The following is a 20,980-nucleotide window of genomic DNA, read 5'->3' as shown; positions in this document are numbered from 1 at the left end:
GCAGTGAGCCACGATCGTGCAACTGCATTCCAGCCTGGGCGAGAGAGTGAGACTTGGCCTCGAAAAAAAAAAAGAAGTAATTTCTACAGAATCTTGAAGGCCAAACTTCACCTCAGTGAACTTATTGTGGCTCCTAGCGATTGCCTCTTCCCTTCCACGGTGATTTTTAAAAAAACAAAACTATCCTTTTAATGGTCAGTTATAGAACCTTACCTGCCTTCAATATTATGATTACTAGAATATATCTTCTTCCTCTTTTTGAAAAACAAGACAATATTAGATAATCACTCAGTCCCTTTGGACTTCTGCCATTCTCCATGATTACTAACCTCATCTGTCAGTACCCTAGGATGTAATTAATATGGGCTATTTGGAGGGCAATAACAGGGAGCCCTGATGTCATCTGAGGAAGTGACATTTAAGCTGAGAGCTGAAGGATGAATAGCAACGGTGGGTGAAAGCGTTCCAGCAGAGACTGTTGCCTGTGCAAAAGCTGTCAAGAAAGAAGGAGCTTTGGGAACTCAAGGAACGTAAGCAGACGCGTGGGATAGAGCCTGGTGAGAGGAAAAGTCGTCTACCTGAGGTTAGAGAGGGAAGGCAGAGGTCAGAGAATTCAGGGTTCTTGTTGGTGATGTTAAGGCAGGATTTTGAACTTATGCTAAGAGAGTGGGAAGCTACTGAAAAGTCCTAAGCAGGGGAGTGATTTGATCTGACTTGCTTGCCATAGATTTCTGTGGTTGCAGTGTACAGAATGAATTGGAGGGGCCCAAAAGGAAGATACAGGTAAAACTGATCATAAATAAACATCAAGGCTAGCCTTGAAAGGGGGAAATAAATTTCAAATGGGCAAAAGATAGTCTTACCAGATATGTTTGGAAGCTCAGACAGACAGTTGAATTCCTTCGATTTGCTAATGATGGGGTGATTTAGATGCTAATACAACAGCCTCAATTTTTTCTTTCTTCTTTTTTCTTTTTTTGGTATTAGATGGAAGTGACTCCTTCGCACCGCTCCCCTCCTGCCAGATTACTTGAATTGCTGACCGACCCACAGATCCCAGAAGCAGTTTGCGCTCCTTCGTCACAGGTGTGGCCTACATCCTATGCTCTAGTGGTTGTTTTGCTCACTTGCCATGGTGAGATTTCTGAGGGGTTGAGGTAGAAGGTATGGAAGATTGGGGGTGGGGACAATAGGGAAGAAGAGCTCCTGGGTAATTAGTACAGAAATGGTGCAACAGAACTGAAAGGATTGAGAAAGCACTCCTTCCCTTCTCTCCCTCAGGTAGCAAGCATTATCTAGTCAAGTTGGTAATAAGGACAGAAACAAGACTGTTTCCTCTGAATTCCTACCTGTGGGGCTTCTTTCTGTTGCAGTTAGCTGATCCACCAGAAGAGGTGGTGTTATGTTTCAGGGGTTCTGACAGTTTAGGCAGGAGGAAGTTCATTTTTGCAGTTCTGTTCAATGGAGTTGTCCCAATGAAAATGCTGGCTGAGGGCCTACTTTACATAGTCACAGACAACAGCTTTCTACAACACCTGGGTTTTCTTTGGAAACTGTGAGGAGGCACTAAAAAGAACCAAAATCTTTTTTCTTGTCTTAAAAAAACTCACAAAGGAGTGACTCTGAAGGATGTGTGTGAGAGTAGCTCTAATTTCAGGTTGAGTTTGGATACAGAAAAAATCACCTTGCATAATTTCATGTTTTGCTGAGTATATTTTGATTTGTATGGAATTGCATTAAAAAAAAATAAAGATGAGGTCTTGCTATGTTGCCCAGGCTGGACTCAAACTCCTGGACTCAAGCGATTCTCCTACCTTCGCCTTCCAAAGTGCTGGGATAACAGGTGTGAGCCATCCTGCCCCCAGAATTGCATTTTTTTTTTTTTGAGACGGAGTCTCGCTCTGTTGCCCAGGCTTGAGTGTACTGGCGCGATCTTGGCTCACTGCAACCTCCACCTCCCGGGTTCGAGTGATTCTCCTGCCTCAGCCTCCCGATCCCGAGTAGCTGGGATTACAGGTGCGTGCCACCACGCCCAGCTAATTTTTGTATTTTTAGTAGAGACAGGGTTTCGCTATGTTGTTCAGGCTGGTTTCAAACTCCTGACTTCAGGTAATCTGCCTGCCTCGGCCTCCCATAAAAATACCTGGAATAAAAATCCCATAAAAATGCCTGGAATTGCATTTTTATAGTTGAGCAAATTAGACTGGACCCATGAGTATAGGTGGCGTATTGAAATAAATTGAGAGAATAAATAGCAGAATTATAACAAATAAAAATCAACAATACTGCTATATCTTTTTTGGGGGGTGGGGATGGAGTTTTGCTCTTGTCACCCAGGCTGGAGTGCAGTGGTGCGATCTCGGCTCACTGCAACCTACACCTCCCAGGTTCAAGCGATTCAATTGTCCTGTCTTAGCCTCCTGAGTAGCTGGGACTACAGGCATCCGCCACCACACCTGGATAATTTTTGTATTTTCAGTAGATACAGGGTTTCACCATGTTGCCCAGGCTGGTCTCGAACTCCTGACCTCAGGTGATCCACTCACCTTGGCCTCCCAAAGTGCTGGGATTACAGGTGTGAGCCACCGCGCCTGGCCCAATACTGCTATATCTTGAGGAATCTTAAAATTCCTGTGATTAGGCTGCAGTAACATGACAATGGGTATGTATGAGAGCATAATGCAAACAAAAAAAAATTTCAGGTCTCTAATATTTTTTAAAGTTGATCTGTTTGAATCTATAAGCAAAGTACATTTTTTCCACTTGTTTAACAGAATTGAATTTGGAACGATATTATTTACTATTCACTAGCAAGCACTTGTATCCCCAAATGTCTAAATTAGTTTATTATTTTATTGATAAGGATGTATTTTGGTAAGAATTCTAGACTTATACCTAGAACTAAAGACAATAACCTCCTCCACCTCCCAATTCCAGTATCTAGAATAATGTCTGCCACATAGCAGTCGTTCAACAAATAAACTAGTGAAGAAATTACAGTATTTGCTGTGTTCAATAAAAGTAAAGCTAGAGGCCGGGCATGGTGGCTCACGCCTGTAATCCTAGCACTTTGGGAGGCCGAGGCGGGTGGATCACCTGAGGTCAGGAGATCGAGACCTGGGCAAGATGGTGAAACCCCGTCTCTACTAAAAATACAAAAATTAGCCGGGTGTGGTGGCAGGCATCTGTAATCCCAGCTACTTGGGAGGCTGAGGCACGAGAATCACTTGAACCCAGGAGGCAGAGGCTGCAGTGAGCCAAGATCGCGCCACTGCACTCCAGCCTGGGTGACAGAGTGAGACTGTCTCAAAAAAAAAAAAAAAAAAAAGGTAAAGCTAGAAAGCTAGAAAATAACTCTATTTGAAAATCTTTAAAGCAGTAGAGAGCAAAACTTTAGATCTCTTTTGTCAATAAAATATCATAATATCTGATTAATATAAATATAAATTTAACATAAATCTTAAAAATCATTAGATACAGGCTCAACTGTGAGCAGAGAAGGAATCATAAGAGGGGAAGAATTGAAAACGGTTGGTTTTACTTCTTGGCAGTTAGGACAGTTTGGGAACAAACCTTAGGTCTCCTGCATTTGCATTTTATTGGGAGATGGGCTTCTCGTTGATCGCAGAATGAAGTTCAAACTTCGTAACATGTTTTTGAAGAGTTTTAGATTTTAGCTTTCGTTCGAGCCGCCCTTACCTACACGTCCTGGGCGTCTGCCACTACAGCGTGATCTCTTTCTTAGTTTGTCCTGCGCTTTTTCACCGACCTCTCCCTCTACCCTGGACTTTGTCCCCTTGGGCTCAGTCAGGTCCCTCTAAAGCCTTCCCACGTTTCAAGGGCTAGTTTAATCTCCAGGGCTTTTAGGAAAACTTCCCAAACCCCATTTTCAGATGCAATGTCGCTCTCCCCTATTTCTCTAGCACTTTGAACTCTAGCTATTATTAAATTCTAACGTGGCATTTTCGCTTGTTTGTATCCCCCAACCAGATTGCGACCACCCTGTTGGGGAGGTCTTTTAAGAAATCGCTGTGTCCAGCCCTGGCACAGTGCCTGGTACAAAGAAAATTCCCAGCAAAGGTTTGTTGAAATGAATCCGAACTCCGGAGGGTAAAGGAGAAGCGCCTATGCCTAGTAGTAAAGGCCTATTCGCGACCTTTGGGAAGGCCTGTGGTGTGGCTGGGCCCTGTCCCCAGCTCTAAACTGGCAGGAGAACGCGGCGAGGCGGAAGACTCGTGTAAGAGTCTCTGAACTCCCTTTCCTTCTTTTTGACTTTTATAGAAGAATCTGCAAGTTCTTCTCCAACAGCCTTGGGCCCCGCCTTAAGGGGCGGTGAAAAGGGGTGGGGTTGTGGTAGTTGGGAGGGATGCCCAGCCTCGTGGCAATTCTGGACTCGCTTTTCTTTTGTAATTTTTAAAGTTTCGCAAATTCCAGCTCTAAGCTGGGGGCCGAGGGTGTAGAGGGTTTCCTGATGCGCACATTTTGCGTTCCAGGGAAAGCTCCCAGGATTCGGAGCTTTGCCTAATTTAGCCTTCTCACATGTCCCACCGCTAGGAAGGCTACCGAGTGCGCCCGGCCTCCACACCCAGCCGGCCGGCGTGGAGAACCCGCTGTTCAGCCCGCGCTTCCTTCTTCAACCCTCTGGGCAAACCCGGGACTAGCGTGTGGGGGAGCTCCCAGCCCGCGGTACCAGGCGAAGTAGGGGGACGGTTGGACTACAACTCCCAGGCTGCCCCGGGAGCAAGGAGGGGGAGGGGGCGAGCGGGAGGGGCCTGGGTGGGGCGGGGTGGGGGTCAGGGAAATCCCGCCCCGCTGCGCAGCAGCAACGACACAAAGCCTGACTTTACAACCTCAGAGAAAGTGGAAGTAAGAAGGCTTAGGTGGGCAGGCAGGACGAGAGAAAGACTGAGAGGAGGGAAAGCCGCGTAGGTGGGAGTACAGCGGCGCGAGGGTCGAGGGGGAACCCTCGTCGGTGCAGATGAGGAGGGTGGGCTTTCAGAACTAGTCCCCCCTCGCACCCCGCCCCGCCCCTCCCGCGCTGGGGTCTTCACGGTGCCCTGCCTCAGAGCCCGGCTCCACCACGCCCGGAAGAGGGAGTCTGGCCGTCGGCTGGCTCAGGGCGGGCCGGTTGGCTGTACCCAGGCTCCCTGGCCCGAGTGCGGGACCAGAGCGCGGGGCGGCGCGGCAGCCGCGGACCGAGGAGGGGCTGCGAGCGAAACGGCGCGGCGCGGCACGGCGGACGAGTTAGGGCCGGGGCGAGGGAGGCTGTGGCTCCCGACAGAGACAGGGGAGTAGTGTCGGGCTGAGGCGAGGTGAGGCGCGGGGTGCCTCGGGAGGGTTCCCCGTGCCCCGAGGGGGGCGGCCGCGGAGTCCAGCGGGGAGGCGGGCGGTGGTGCCGCGTCGGGGAAGAGCGCATCCCGCGGGGTGCCGAGCCCGGCGCTGGCGGAGAGACGGGGGCGCCCCCTCCCCACAGGAGGAGCCTCGCGCTCCTCCGCCATCCTTCCCCCGCGCGGCGGGCTCGCCTTCTCAGTGGGTGCTGCGCGAGCTGCCGGCCCGGGGTGCCGGGGCCAGATAAGGGCGATCCGCGGGGCCGCCGCCCCCGGGTCAGGCAGGCCGGGGGCGGGCCGCGAGTGAGGCGGGGCGGCGGCTAGGCTGCGGGCGGCTGGGGGGCGGGGGAGCGCGGAGAGCCGAGGGGGGCAGGCGGCGAGCGGGTGGCCCGGCCGCCCGCCTCGCTGCTCCGCTTGGCGCCGCCGGCCCACGCCGCAGTGTGTTTTGTGGACGGCGCCTTCCCAGACAGCCCGGTAGAGCCCAGCTCAGCGCCCGGCAGCCTTCGACGCGATGTTCCGCCGGAGCTTGAATCGTTTTGTAAGTACACTCGCTGCGGCTCCGCGCGTGCCGGTTTGCTTGCTCGCCAGCCCCTTCGCCGGGTCCCTCACAACAATTTTCTGAGGGGGCAGTTACGTCTCTGGGAGACACCACCACCCCTCTTCTTCCTTTTCACCGAAACACGGTGCCCAGGCGGCCGGGGAGGGGAGGCAGGTAGGGCTCTCGGGGTATCCCACCCTCGCCCCCAGGACAATTCGACCAGGGCTTCCCGGAGCTGTTACAAACTCTGCCTGAAACTGGGGGCCGCCTTCGGGCTGGGTGGTGGGGGGGACTCGTGGGGGGACCGACCCGGGGACCCCTCAGTTTGCCAATTAGTCGAAGATGGCGTTTTATTCTCAGGGAGGTTGCTTTCTTTTGTTTCCTCTGCCACGAGCACATGGAGGTAAACCTAGACCTGTCACGGTGGCCCAAAAGAAGAGCTGGGGGCTGAGGGAGCCGGAGACTAGGGCAAGACTCAGCCTTGCCTAGGGCTCAGCCAGCGGGCGGCTTCTGACCGGAGGCCGGGCAAACTTTGGAGACCCAGCCTACAAAGCTCACCTTTAGGGTGTTTGAAAGGCGAGCGTGATTGTCAGGGTGGGCCGGGTGGATGTGCAGCCGCGAGGAGGCTGCGCCGCCACTGCCCGTGCTGCCGATCTCTGGTCTGAAGCCTCGCGGAGGACTGAGCACTCCAGACCTTGAACCCATGGGAGAAGGCGGACTGTGACTGGACTCCTCCGTCCACGTTTACCCCCTTCAGAATCCCCAGAAAAGGGAATTTCATTTTCATGGGAGTTAGCCATAGGGAAAATCGCTTTCTGGCTACTGACTTTTTTGAGTAACCTGTTTACTCCTAGAGGGTACATTAAGAATGGAGCGAAACAGGACCATTTACGTTCCGTGCTGCTATTTGTAGCAACTTCCTTAATTGCAAGAGGTGGTGGCGGGAATAGGATTTTATTTCTGCCAATGATGTGGAAGAAAGGGTTCATCTGCAAATTTTGATTTTTCTGTAGTTAGGAAAAAGGGTTGAAAGCTGAGTGCTTTCCTCTACCTGCCTTAAAATATATCTTTTGAGAACATGTCGATTTGGTTTTATTCATGCAATTATTCCTAATCAAAACGTTGCTAACATTTTTCATACATCGGATATATTTGCTCTCATTTTTCCTTCATTTGAAACTTTCACAAGTGTACACTGGCTAAAAGTAATACTTGCACATCCCTTTTTAGAATAGTGCTGTGTTAATGGTTTTCTAAATGTTGACCCCACCCAGGAACATGCAGTATGAAATTGGAACAGATTATTACCTGTGGCATAGAGCAGTAGAGGTTGTACATATCAATCATCTTGAAATCCGTAGGTGATGGCTTGTACTGATAGCTTTGCTGAAGCAAGTGACTAAAATTGGTTTCTCACATTTAGCCTGAGAATGCAAGCGGGTATTGTTCTTAATAGCTGTTTCACATAGATTCTTGTGATCTTGGAGTGTTGCGTGGGGGTGACAAAAAGGGAAAGGTGGCAATGAAAGCTAATTGTATTTAGGAAAAGGATAATCTTTTCACGTGGCACTCTTATGGTGGAAAACAACTGGGCTCTGAATCATAATAAAATCATTAAACTTAAGTTGTTGAAATCCTTTTTTTTTTTTTTTAAGGATTTGAACATTTGAAACCGAACAACTCAAGTATTGGTCTAAAAGCCCATTGCTTCCCTTTTGCGAAAAGTGATCTGCATCGTATCAGAGTCTAGTAATTAAGCAGTGCTGGCCCAGGAAGCCAGGGCATGCAGTAGAATTTGCAGCAGTTGTTGAGGTGCCAGCCTGCAGGTTTGAGGCTAGTACTTTGCATCCCCGACCAAGATCTCAGCAGAGAATCACTTTTGCTAATACTGAAATGAGCTTTGACCTTATTGTTGCAGCTGGAATATTCAGCTGTTCACATTTTCCTGCGCAGCCATGACTGTGGTAAGTATCAGGAATTTGTACCAGTGCGGTAAGCTGGAAGGTTCTTAGGAGTTGTGTCTGAGCCCTAGGCCCAGGGCAAGGAATTAATCTGCATACCGTTGGACTGAATGTGAAAATTACTATCAAATAATCATTGCTAAAAAACGGCTTCAAAATTTGGGGGAGGGGGGCAATTTTTCCATCTCTTAGATCAGTAAACCATGCGCTGTTCTCCTCTTTTGCCTGACAAATTCTTTGAGGGGTACTTCCATTTGAATTACTAGAAGACTAGAATTAAAGATTTGAGTGGAACTTTGAGACTTTCACAGCAGTATAGATGTAGTCAAGGTTGTGAGTTGTCTTATGATTGTTTTAATATTTTAGAAATAGAGCTATGAATTCCTTTCAAAATGAGTTGTTTTTTTAGTGTACCTGTACGTGTCTGATATTGGTTTTGATTGTGAAATAAATTACAGTGGTGTTGATTGTAGTTGTTGGTTATTGAAAACTAGACTACATATTAGAGAAGTGCTTCCTTTATATTTTAAACCTGACGTGGAAGAATCCCTTAGGATTCTTACAAGCATCATCTTCTATAGCTCAGTTGTGTTTGCTGAATCATTTTTGAAATGCCATTTATTTTTCGAGTTTTCCAATTTCAAGCTAAAAGAAAATAGTGATTCATTGTATTTTTTTAAATACATGGTCTTGACTTCTTTGCCATTAATAACTGTGTTCCTTTCTTTCTGATGAATTATGACTTTCCTTTTGACAGTTTTGAGGTGGAAAGAAATTGGTGGATTTGGTGTATAGCATTTTAGGGTTGAGGCATGTAGAGGGTGTCCTAAAGGATTTAAGAGTTGGATGTCTCTGAGTGCAATAAAAGCACCACCTGTTCTCAAGTCAACATCTCCATAAATACAGTAAATAAGTAATAATAACTCTGTCTGTACAATTTATTTTCTTCAAAGGCATATTTAATCAGAAGTCTGGACTAGTTGAGATTTAAGGGTCATGGACTTTTATGTTATCCTGTCTTGTTTTATTCTTAATGCAATTCCTAGTGACTATAGTAACGTGTTCTCTTGGGTTTAAAGATTTATTGAAAGTCTAAAAACAATTCCCCCCTCTTTTTGGCTTATGAAATTATTTTATACTAAAGATTCAAAATAAGAGATTTCTTGATAAAGTAGGTTGGGGGCTTGGTCAAGAGGATGCTGTCAGTTTAGCTTGTCAGTGATAGTTAACAGGTATGCATTTCTAGACCTTTGATACATGAAAGCTTAATTGTGAGTGTGAAATACTGGAGTACATTTAAATCTCTGATTCTAGAAGCCCTTAAACTGCTTTGGTTTCATAAAGCATGTAGCATATAATCATAATATCACACAGAAGATGCCCAGGACTAGGAAGAAATTAGACTGCATAAGGAAGAATGGAAATTTAAAATAAGACTAAAAAATACAAAATAAGAATTAATGAAATAGGTAGCTAATTTATTGCTTTGAGTCCAAGGCAAGGCTAGTCTAATGAAGCAATATATGGAGGCAATTAAGAAAATAGTTCAGGTAATTGCTTTGTTTTTTCCCCAGGAGCAAGAAGGTTTTTAGTTTCCCCTTTAAACTATCAGAGTAATTAAACATTTTTTTTTTTCTGTTTCACTTTACTAATAATCCTGGCCTGACATTGACGAGCGGGAAAATATTGATTTTATTTTACTGTGTTTAGAAATATATCTGTATGTATGTATTGCAATATTTTTACATTTGCACAACTATTACAAATGGTCTGTGTATCTCGGCTCCCACATGGCTGTTCATAGAGGTCTAGGTTTAGCAGTTGAACTTGACCATACTTAAAAGCAACTTTTTTTTTTTAAATCATATTGTGTTATAATTGCCTTTTAACTTGTATGGCTCCCTAGTCTTTCTCAACATGGAGAGAATTGGCACTGATGCCCTAGGACATGCATTGTTAGTAATAAATTAACATTTTCCTGCGCAGCTGGAGTGAAGGAACCCTAATTGAGAAAGGCTGTCCTAGACAGGGACAGTTCACAGTGTGTTCTTAGCTCCTAGCACAGTGCCTGGTCCCTAGTAGGTGTTCAGTAAAATATTTTTTGAAAGAACAACTTTTGTATGTATCCCATAAATAATAACCTTTACTTACAGATAGTGATTATTGTAAACCCGCTCTTATGCAGAATGAGCAAAGAATGAGTTCTTGTTAGTTGGGGTATACCGTATACATTACTAGTATTCTAAGAATTAGAATAAATACATCTAATGCCGAAAGCTATACTGACCATAGTATAATCTTTTTTTTTTTCCTTTTTTTTGAGATTTATTATGGGAATTGGATCATGCAGTTACAGAGGCTGAGAAGTCCCAGGATCTGCCATCTGCATGAGCCCGGCCACAAAATATCCCCTTCTTTTATTTATTTTTATTTTTATTGTTATTTTTTTTGAGACAGAGTCTTACTCTTGTCATCCAGGCTGGAGTGCAATGGCACGATCTTGGCTCACTGCAACCTCCGCCTCACGAGTTCAAGCGATTCTCCTGCCTCAGCCCCCCTAGTAGCTGGGATTACAGGCGCCTGCCACCACGCCTGGCTAATTTTTTGTATTTTTTAGTAGAAACGGGGTTTCACCATGTTGGCCAGGCTAGTCTCGAGCTCTTGACCTCAGGCGATTTCCCTACCTCGGCCTCCCAAAGTGCTGGAATTACAGGCAAGAGCCAGCATGCCTGGCCTCTTTCTTAGATGATTAAGGCATTGTATGGTTTTGCAGAGCAATTATCATTCAGCAAATATTCACTGAGCACCTACTATGTGCTGGGCACTGCAGTCAATCCTGGGGTCGTAGATGAGCAAGACAGACAAGGTTCCTGTCTTCCTGAGCTGTAATTATCATTACATACACAACTATAGATATAGAGGGCATGGTAACTGCATTGCATTGAATACATTTGTGACATACCATGAAATTTGATCTTTGTGAATAAGTTACTATTACATACTTGTCATTTTTCTTTCTACTAAAAATAGATTGTACAATATCAGTTATTTTCTGGTTGTTTGGATGTCAGTTAAAAAGGAGTTTCTTGCATTTGTCTCCTTTCATCTGACCTACGCATGGCAAACTGCTCTTTTGCAAATAGATGCTAGGCTGACCCCACGCAAGGTGGGAAACTTATTTAGAAATGAACCACTGTAACTTGAAATAAATCTTTACACAAGTGAAAGCAGGTTTTGTCTTCTTTTTTCCTGATCTACCTTTTAGTGACTAAGCAACATAAAACTCTGAATGTGTCCTGAATACTTTCTGTAAGTGTTTACTGTTTGTTCCTTTTGTTTATGCTTATTGCTAATAATTCAGCCATTTAGTGAGTAATATTGAGTGCCTATATACCAGGTAGTTTCCAGTGTTCCTAATTAACTTTTAGCTGAATTGAGATTTGGGCAGGTGAAGCTGGCCATTTTTATATTGATGCAACTGTTCAAAAGAGCTTGTTTTTTCAAAAAGCTGCCAGTTTACCACCTGCTGAGCAGTGGGTTCTAGGAGGTAAAGGATGGCCAGTGGCCCCTGAAAGAACCATAACTAACCTTGCTGTGTCTGCATGATGTGCAAAGAACTAGCCCACTGAGTGAAATCAAATACTGGTTTGTTGAGTGATGGAAAAAATCAAGGCTCATTGCTTGTCTAACATGGTTATTCAGTTCTCTCAAAGAGGGTGAATGCATGGGATATAAAAAAAAAATACTATTTTTTTCTTCAAGGTGGTGGAATTTCCTGTACATCTGTAGTGCTTTATACAGATGAACCTTTTACATCTGGAACCCTCGAGACTGGGGGAGTTTTTCTGGTTAGGTGGAGGGAGGTTCTGGGCTTCCACAAATGAATTAGGTGCTGGCTCTCGAGTTTATTTCCTTTCACTTAACATTTACCTTCTTGGCCTGGTATAAGGGTAGATTAGCGGTGATCGTAAAACAAAACATACTGGCACAACTGCAGCATATGTTAACACTGCTGCAGCTTAATGATGAATGAGTGCTCAGCACTGCAGATATGGGCACAGGATGCCCTATGCCCACACATTGGCAGACAGCCCCTCAATTATTGCAGTGTATGGACGGATTACTGGGTCGGCTGACTTCTTGATAATAGAAGATGTGATTTATAAATGATAATGGACCGTGGATTTCCAGATTTAGAAGGTTAACCTGTATTTGTGAAGTAGAAATCATTGATTTCTTGTGCCATATGTATTTAATGGAATATGGGAGGATTGGTGATGTTGATGATATTGCTGTTCAAGCAGATATCATCATTTGTTTTTTAGACGTCTCTATTATATGTTGTCATAAAGTATTAATGTGGCAATGTTTTCCTAGTCCCTTTCTCTTTACCAAGGTATTCTTGGAAAAATCAGAAGTGTTCTTGAAAATGATCTTGCAGTTAGCACAGCATCAGGTAAACAGTAGATGTTCAATTAATACTTGTTTAATTGTTTTGAGCTGAATTGGTAACACAGTCTGAGTCAGTAATAACAGATGAAGAATGATCAGTTTAGGAAGCAGCCACCAAGAAGCTTATGCATTTCAGACTGGGCTACAAAATTAGCCAGGAGTGGTAGCACAGGCCTGTAATCCCAGCTACTTGAGAGGCTGAGGCGGGAGAATCACTTGAACCTGGGAGGCAGAGGTTGCACTGAGCCGAGATCGTGCCATTGCACTCCAGCCTGGGCAACAAGAGCAAAACTCCATCTCAAATAATAATAATCCTGTATGCTTACTATAAATACAGATTCCTGGGCCTTGAACTTACTGAATCCAAGTCTTGGGTGACAGACTCCAAGAAACTGTTTTTAACAAGCATTCCAAGTGGTTCTTAGGTTCACTAAAATTTGAGAACAGCAATATATAATATAGTAAACACGGAAATATTTATTTTCTGGGCACACTCTCTGTTCACCTTTTTGAACTTCAGTTTCTTCATCGATAGAATGGGAATAATAATACCTATTTCACAAGACTGTTGAAAAAAACGTTTGGTAGACTATTCAACACTATACCAATTGTGACAGAGGTCCTCAAAACCGGCCTAGGTTTGTTGATTCACTGGCAGAACTCAGTACATAGAAACGCTTGCGGATGTGATTTATTATAGCAAAAGGATACAGAGCAAAGTCAGTAACGGGAAAAGGCTCATTGGGGCCAAGTCTGGAGGAAACCATGTGCAAGCTTCCAGTCCTCTTTCACTGAAATCACACAGGTCATGCTTAATTCCTCTAGCAAATGAGTTTTGACAACTTGTGTGAAATGTCTACTAGGGAAGCTTATTAGAGATTCAGTACCCAGGGTTTTTAGTGGGAGCTGGTCACACAGGCACCCTCCACCTGGTACACAGCAAAATTCCAGACCCCAAGGAGGAAAGCAGGTATTCAGTGTAAACCCTATTGTTTACACAGCTTAAGCAGAGTGAGCCACTCTTATCAGGGTGATGGAAACCCTCCCAAAATCCAAGTCCCCAGACACCAGCCAAGGACCAACCTTGCAAACAGGCCTTACTAAGAATAGCAGTGTCAGGCCTGCTATGTTAACTCTTTCCATCACGCAAATATTGTGAAACACTGGTATTTTTTCAGTGAAAGGAAATGACTTGTCCAAGATCATTAAGCTAATCAGCAGTACAGCTGAGACAGACTCCCAGCAATCACATCTTTTCTTTGCTGCCCATAGCCATGCTTCTAGATTATGGGTCATTCCTTTTCATACTGTCATTGAAAGCACTTACTGTTTGTCACTTGAAGCAGAAGAGCAGCCTGCCGGTGGTAAATTGATGCACCCAGTGGGGGAGCCAGGAAGTATTGATGTTTCTGCCAGTTTAGCGTCAACACTTGCTGGTTTCCTCTCTGGAGCATCGCCAAGTTCGTGGATTTTCATTTTTCCTGACTTTTGGACTTTTGTTACTGCTCCCATTCATTTGCTCATAGTCCTAATACTCATTTGCATCATCACTTCATCCCATTCTATACCTTTTGGGTAACACAATTTCCAAATGGTGGGAATACTGCAGTATTTTGTCAAAGAAGACTATATAGGAAAAAAAAAATTCTGAGCAATGAATTTTATGGCAATATTTACAAATATTGGTTTATATCCTGGATTGTCTTTTGAGTTTTATAGTCATGGAAAACCCTAGGGATATCTCTGGTTATTTGGAGTTTCAGCCATTTTTACTGTTATAAAGGAAAATTAACAAATTTGTTATGATTGGAGCAAGGAATAAGGAAATCATACTGGATGGTGCAGTAATCCCACATATCGACAGGGAGTAGAAGCCAGGAGGGAATTGCCACAAGTAAGTAACAGCTGGGTAGAGCAGATTATGTAAGCTACACCTGTTGTGTAAGCAGTGGGGACGTTCTTTAAGCTTCACAATTAATGTATTTTGCAGTAATAAGGATTAAGGGATCTATAGTATAGTGTACAATTTATTCTGGCTTCTTTTCTGAAAACATTCATGTGAATCACAGCTTTCTTGGAACACTCATCCCCTATTTGGTGCTGTAGAGGTGTGTAAGGTACAGCCCTGCTCACCAGTAGCCTGCAGTTTGGTAGAAGAGAGAGAAGACCAGCACACAGGACCATCCTCCACACAAGGCCAGTAGGTCACCAGAGCCATCCTTTTGAAGGACATACACAGTAAGTGCAGTAGGCATTCAGAAGGAGGCACTGGCTCTCTGGCTTCATTTCTTGGGGAGAGCTTTATGGAGGAAGTAGCCTGTCAACTGGGCCTCTGGGGACCCAAAGGGCTGAAGGTTCTGAGATTTTAGGGATGGGCAGTCTCATTACAGGAGGAGGCAATTACCTGAGCAATGGTGCAGGGTCATTGTTGTACTTAAAGCATGGGAACCAGTCAATTTAGAGAACATACATGCCAACCCCAAATGAGTTTGAGCTGTTATAAAAAAAAGTATAACAGGTGGGGCTCAGTGGCTCACGCCTGTAATCCCAGCACTTTGGGAGGCTGAGGCAGGTGGATCATTTGAGGTCAGGAGTTCAAAACCAGGCTGGCCAACATGGTGAAACCCCATCTCTACTAAAAACAAAAATTAGCCAGGTGTGATGGAGAGCACCTGTAATCCCAGCTACTCGGGAGGCTGAGGCTGGAGAACTGCTTGAGCCAGGGAGGTGGAGGTTGCAGTGAGCAGAGATGGCACCACTGCACTCCAGCCTGAGTAATAGAGCGAGACTCTGCCTCAAAAAAACAAAACAAAACAAATAAAAAGTATAACATAGATTCAGTGGCTTATGCACAACAGAAATTTATTTCTCACAATCCTGGAACTTGGAAGTCCAAGATCAGGATGCCAGCATGGTTGGGTACTGGTGAGGGGGCTTCACGTCGCAGACTGGTGACTTATTGTATCTTCACATGGCAGAAAAAGAGTGAAATGAGCTCCCTAGGGCACTAATCCCATTTATGAGGGCTCCACCTTCATGGCCTGATCACCTGTCAGATGCCTCACCTCCTAGTACTGTCACCTTGGAAGTTAGGATTTCCACATAAGAATTTTAGGGGAACACAAACATCCTGTCCATGACACAGCAGAAACACCAAAACCTCGATCTTCAATGCCTTACGTTTGCTGTAGTAATTTTGATTTTAAAAAAGGAGATGCTAAAAACAGGTGGCTTTAGGTCTCCACAACAATAGCTATAGGAATCTTCCCATACATAGATGCTCTTTTCTGAAACCTATGACTCCAGTAAATTTATGTCATTTAAAAAAAATGCATATATATATATATATATATATATATATATATATATATATATATATTTAGAGAAGGAGAGAGAGAGAGAGACAGTCTTGCTCTGTTGCCCAGGCTGGAGTGCAGTGGCACAATCTCGGCTCACTGCAACCTCTGCCTCCTGGGTTCAAGTGATTCTCCTGCCTCAGCCTCCTGAGTAGCTGAGACTACAGGCGTGTGCCACCACACCTGGCTAATTTTTGTATTTTTAGGAGAGACAGGGTTTCACCATGTTGGCCAGGCTGGTCTTGAACTCCTGACCTCAAGTGATCCACCTGACTCAGCCTCCCAAAGTGCTGGGATTACTGGCGTGAGCTGCCATGCCCGGCCTTATTTGGTGCAGAGACAGTAAGGCAGAGACCAGGATGAAATATATATTTGGGGTAATATATCATGACACTACTTCATATATTATTATAGGACTGCTTACTTAGTTACCCTGCTTAAATTATGGGTACACATTTCTGGTAACTTTCACTACACATGGGAGACAGGATGGCAGTTCATTTTCTTGAGTACTAGTGGTCATTTATTTAAAAAGCTGGAGATCAGGCCTTTTTTCAGGAGCACATTCCTTACCAACACATTTATAGTTCACTGCTATTAGATAAGAAAGCTTTTGATAGACTTTCAGATCTGACTGCATCATTCGGACTTACCAGAACATGAATTGCATCTCATTCCCTCTGTATTAGTCTATTTTCATACTGCTTTAAAGAACTGCCTGAGATTGGGTAATTTATAAAGGAAAGAGGTTTAATGGACTCACAGTTCCACATGGCTGGGGAGGCCTCAGGAAACTTCCAATCATGGCAGAAGGCAATTAGGACGCAAGACACCCTCACAAGGTGGCAGGAAGGAGAAGTGCCGAGTGAAGGGGGGAAGAGGCCCTTATGAAACCGTCAGATCTCGTGAGACTCACTCACTATCACGAGAACATGGGGAAAACCACCCCCATGATTCAGTTGCCTCCACCTGGTCTCTCCCTTGACAGGTGGGTATTATGGGGATTATAATTCAAGATGAGATTTGGGTGGGGACACATATCACCCTCATAACCAGTTCATCACGACACCATGCTTAGTCAGTGCCACTTTTCTTTATCATCATGACTGCCACCCTCGTCTAAGTCATTAGCATCTCTCCACTTTCATATTTGTTCCTCCTCCAGTTTTCCCGTTCAGTAAATGGCACCATCCCCCTCCTAGTAGCTCAAGCTAAAAACCTAGCAGTCATACTTAATACTAACCTTTCCCTTCATCACATTTGTCAGAGAATCCAGTAGGTTCTATTTCTGAAAATGCTGTCACATCCATCCACCTTTCTTCATGCCCACACCTACCACCATTCAAGTTTAAGCTACTGCTGTCATTTACCTGGACCTTTGCAATTGATTATTTTATTATCCACCTTTGCCCTCTCCTATCTGTCTTCCACACAGCTCCAGGGGGATCTTTTACAGACGCACACCAGGAGCACTTCATTGACTTTCGACTGATTTCTGGTTAAATACTTTGCTGGTATTGCTCTCTCTCTTTCACTTTTTTTCATTCACTTTTAAAAACTGAGATAATTCACCTAACATAAAATTCACCACTTTAAAGTATACACTTAAGTGGATTTAAATTTCCTATGCTGTGTAACTATCACAGCTATCTAATTCCAGCACATTTCCACTACCTCAAAAAGAAACCCCATCCGTTAGCTCTTAGTCCCAGTCCTCTATCCTTCAGCCCTTGGCAACCACCCATCTACTTTCTTATCTCTGGATTGCCAGTGGAATCATACAATATGTGTTCCTTTGTGACTGAATTCTTTGGTGTAGCATAGTAATATTTTCAAGATTTGTTCATGTTGTAGCATGTATCAGTATCAGTACTTAATTCTTTTTTTTTTTTTTTTGAGGTGGAGTCTGTCACCCAGGCTGGAGTGCAGTGGTATGATCTCGGCTCACTGCAACCTGTGCCTCCTGGGTTCAAGCGATTCTCATGCCTCAGCCTCCAAAGTAGCTTGGACTACAGGCACGCACCACCACACTCGACTAATTTTTGTATTTTTAGTAGAGACGGGGTTTTGCTATGTTGGCTAGGCTGGTCTTGAACTGACCTCAGGTCATCCGCCCGGCTCGGCCTCCCAAAGTGCTGGGATTATAGGCGTGAGCCACCGCGCCCGGACTCATTCCTTTTGAAGGCAGAGAATACTCCGTTTTATGGAGAGAGCACATTTTATTTATCTGTTCATCAGCTGATGGACATTTGGGTTGTTCGCACTTTTTGACTCTTGTGAAAAATGTTTCTTCGAACATTTTTGTCCTTTCTTTTTTATTTTTTTATTGAGACAGAGTCTCACTCTGTTGCCCAGGCTGGAGTGCAGTGGCGCCATCATGGCACATTGCAGCCTCCGCCTCCCAGGTTCAAGCAATTCTCCTGCCTCAGCCTCCTGAGTAGCTGGGACAACAGGCGTGCACCACCACACCCGGCTATTTTTGTATTTTTAGTAGATATGGGGTTTCACCATATTGGCCAGGCTTGTCTCGAACTCTTGGCCTTAGGTCATCCGCCCACCTTGGCCTCCCAAAGTGCCGGAATTACAGGTGTGAGCCACTGTGCCTGGCACATTTTTTTGCTTTTTAAAATGAATATGTTTTTACTTGAGTATATATTAGTGGAATTGCTGGGTCATATGGTAATTGTATGTTTAAACTTTTCAGGAACTACCAAACTGCTTTCTTCAGTTCTTCCTCACTTAAATAAGTAGTTTGTGTGTGTGTGTGTGTGTGTGTGTGTGTGTGTGTGTGTGTGTGTGTGTTTAAGTTTGAGTGCAGTGCTGCGATCTCTGCTCACTGCAACCTCCGCCTCCCGGGTTCAAGCCATTCTCTTCTCAGCCTCCTGAGTAGCTGGGATTACAGGTGCCCGCCACCACGCAGCTAATTTTTGTATTTTTAGTAGAGATAGGGTTTTCCTGGGATTATAGGTGAGAGCCACTACGCCAGCCATGTGTGTGTTTTTTTGAGACAGAGTCTTGCTCTGTCGCCCCGGCTGGAGTGCAGTGGTGTGATCTCGGCTCACTGCCATGTCTGCCTCCCGGGTTCAAGCTATTCTCGTGCCTCAGCCTCCTGAGCAGCTGGAATTACAGGCACACGCCACCATGCCTGGCTAATTTAAAAATATTTTTATTAGAGACAGGGTTTCGCCATGTTGGCCAGGCTGGTCTTGAACTCCCAACCTCAGGTGATGCACCCTCCTCAGCCTCCCAAAGTGCTGGAATTACAGGTGTGAGCCACAGCACCCGGCCAATAACTAGTATTTTTAATTGTAAAGAAAACACCTAAAACTTACCATCTTTCTTTAAAGCATAGAGTAGTGCAAATTGTATTCACATTGTATGCAACAGATCTCTAGAACTTTTTCATCTTGCAAAACTGAAACTCCATACCCATTAAACAACAGCTCCCCCACTTCATGCAGTATTGGTCTTTTTGTGACTGGCTTATTTCACTTAGCATAAAGTCCTCCAGGATTCTCCATGTTGTAGCATGTGAGAGGATTTTCTTCCCTTTTTTTTTTTTTTTTTTTTTGAAATGGGGTTTCAGTCTGTCACCCAGGCTGGAGTGAAGTGGAGTGGTTTCGCTTTGTCACCCAGGCTGGAGTGAAGTGGAGTGGTCTTGGCTCACTGCAACCTCTGTCCCCACCCCCACCCCCGCCCCGGGTTCAAGCAATTCTCCTGCCTCAGCCTCCCGAGTAGCTGGGATTATATGGGATTATAGTTACCCACCACTATGCCCAGCTAATTTTTGTATTTTTAGTAGAGACGGGGTTTCGCCATGTTGGCCAGGCTGGTCTGGAACTTCTGACTTCAGGTGATCCACCCGCCTCGGCCTCCCAAAGTGCTGGGATTACAGGCGTGAGCCACATGCCTGGCCTGATTTTCTTCCTTTTAAAGACTGGATTATGTTTCATTGCGTATATATATATTTTGTTTATACATTCATCTGTAGATAGTCATTTGGATTGCTTCCACCTCTTGGCTATTGTGAATAATGCTGCTATGAACATCAGTGTGCAAATATCTCTCTTCGAGATTGTGCTTTCAATTCTTTGGATATATACCCAGAAATGAGACTGCTGTGCATGTGGTAATTCTGTGTTTAATTTTTTGAGGAACTTCTGTACTGTTTTCAACAGTGGCTACATCATTTTACATTCCCATTAAGGGTTCTAGTTTCTCCATATACTCACCAACAATTGCTATATTTTTTATAGTAACTGTCTTTTTTTTTTTTTTTTTTTTTTTTTTTGAGACAAAGCCTGGCTCTGCTGCCCAGGCTGAAGTGCAGTATTGCGATCTCTGCTCACTGCAATCTCTGCTTCCCAGGTTCAAGTGATTCTCCTGCCTCAGCCTCCCGAATAGCTGGAATTACAGGCGTGTACCACCATGCCCAGCTAATTTTTGTCTTTTTGGTAGAGACTGGGTTTCACCATGTTGGCCAGGCTGGTCTCGAACTCCTGACCTTATGTGATCCCCCTGCCTTGGCCTCCCACGTGCTGGGATTACAAGTGGGAACCACCACGCCTGACCTATAATAGCTGTCTTAATGGGTGTGAGGTTACATCTTATTGTGATTTTGATTTGCATTTCTTGGATGATTAGTGATGTGAGCATCATTTCCTATGTTTTTTGGCCATTTGTATGTCATCTTTTGAGAAATGTCTACCTAAGTCCTTTACCCATTTTGGTTGCGGGGGGGTTATTTCCTTTTTTGTTGTTGCTCAGTTGTAGGAGTTATTTACATATTCTGGATAATATTTCCTTATGAAATATATGATTTGCAAATATTTTCCCACATTCCATAGGTTGCCTTTTCATTGTGATGATTACTTACTTTGATGAACAGAAGTATTAAAGTTTGATGTAGTCTCATCATTTGTCTGTTTATGCTTTCGTTGCCTGTGCTTTTAATGTCATATCCATGAAATCACTGTCAAATCCAAATGTCATGAGTCTTTTCCCCTCTGTTTTCTTCTAGGAGTTGCATATTTTTAAGTTTAATTGATAGTTTATAAGTCTTACATGTAGATCTTCAATCGACTTTGAGTTAATTTTTGTATGTAGTATAAGATAAGGGTCCAACTTCATTCTTTTGCATGTTGATGTCCAGTTTTCCTGGCACCATTTATTTGAAGACTCTCCCAGCATCGTAGGACAGGGTAAGAAAAAAAGAGAAGACTCTTTTCCCCCACTGAGTGGTTTTGGCACCCTTGTTAAAGATCATTTGACCATGTACATGAGAGTTTACTTCTGAGATATTTATTTTTATTCTGTTTGCCTGTGTGTCTGTCTTTACGCCAGTGT

At 44.4% G+C, this 20,980-nt stretch overlaps 1 protein-coding gene and 1 non-coding gene across 18 annotated transcripts in view, besides 4 other annotated features; both read left to right on the top strand.

Annotated features, from left to right (window-relative positions):
• Positions 978-20,980, top strand: part of ATP11C (ATPase phospholipid transporting 11C (ATP11C blood group)) — a 210,556-nt gene continuing 190,553 nt past the window's right edge. For 4 of the 17 annotated variants that reach the window (XM_047442018.1, XM_047442017.1, XM_047442022.1 and 1 more), the window contains exon 1: positions 980-1,086. In XM_047442018.1, coding sequence (XP_047297974.1) covers positions 988-1,086 — 99 coding nt within the window. In that variant the 5' untranslated portion in view covers positions 980-987. Of the gene's footprint in view, positions 1,087-4,827; positions 5,866-6,177; positions 7,830-20,980 lie in introns of those variants that run through there. The other 13 variants (XM_047442028.1, NM_001353812.2, NM_001353811.2 and 10 more) reach the window with 8 other exon arrangements.
• Positions 4,142-4,191: an enhancer, noted in NCBI's record as "active region_30005". NCBI's record gives its function as "activates an Ori minimal core promoter by ATAC-STARR-seq in GM12878 lymphoblastoid cells {active_cell/tissue: GM12878}" and the evidence as "EXISTENCE:reporter gene assay evidence [ECO:0000049][PMID:35858748]".
• Positions 4,232-4,581: an enhancer, noted in NCBI's record as "active region_30004". NCBI's record gives its function as "activates an Ori minimal core promoter by ATAC-STARR-seq in GM12878 lymphoblastoid cells {active_cell/tissue: GM12878}" and the evidence as "EXISTENCE:reporter gene assay evidence [ECO:0000049][PMID:35858748]".
• Positions 5,362-5,601: a silencer, noted in NCBI's record as "silent region_21037". NCBI's record gives its function as "represses an Ori minimal core promoter by ATAC-STARR-seq in GM12878 lymphoblastoid cells {active_cell/tissue: GM12878}" and the evidence as "EXISTENCE:reporter gene assay evidence [ECO:0000049][PMID:35858748]".
• Positions 5,642-5,801: a silencer, noted in NCBI's record as "silent region_21036". NCBI's record gives its function as "represses an Ori minimal core promoter by ATAC-STARR-seq in GM12878 lymphoblastoid cells {active_cell/tissue: GM12878}" and the evidence as "EXISTENCE:reporter gene assay evidence [ECO:0000049][PMID:35858748]".
• On the top strand, positions 13,650-13,733 carry MIR505 (microRNA 505). The gene has a single exon (NR_030230.1). It is a non-coding gene; the product is annotated as a microRNA 505 (primary transcript).

This window comes from Homo sapiens, chromosome X (genome assembly GCF_000001405.40).
Source record: "Homo sapiens chromosome X, GRCh38.p14 Primary Assembly".
Lineage (NCBI taxonomy): Eukaryota > Metazoa > Chordata > Mammalia > Primates > Hominidae > Homo > Homo sapiens.
Note: the sequence above shows the minus strand (reverse complement) of the source record. Positions and strands in the feature narration are given on the sequence as shown.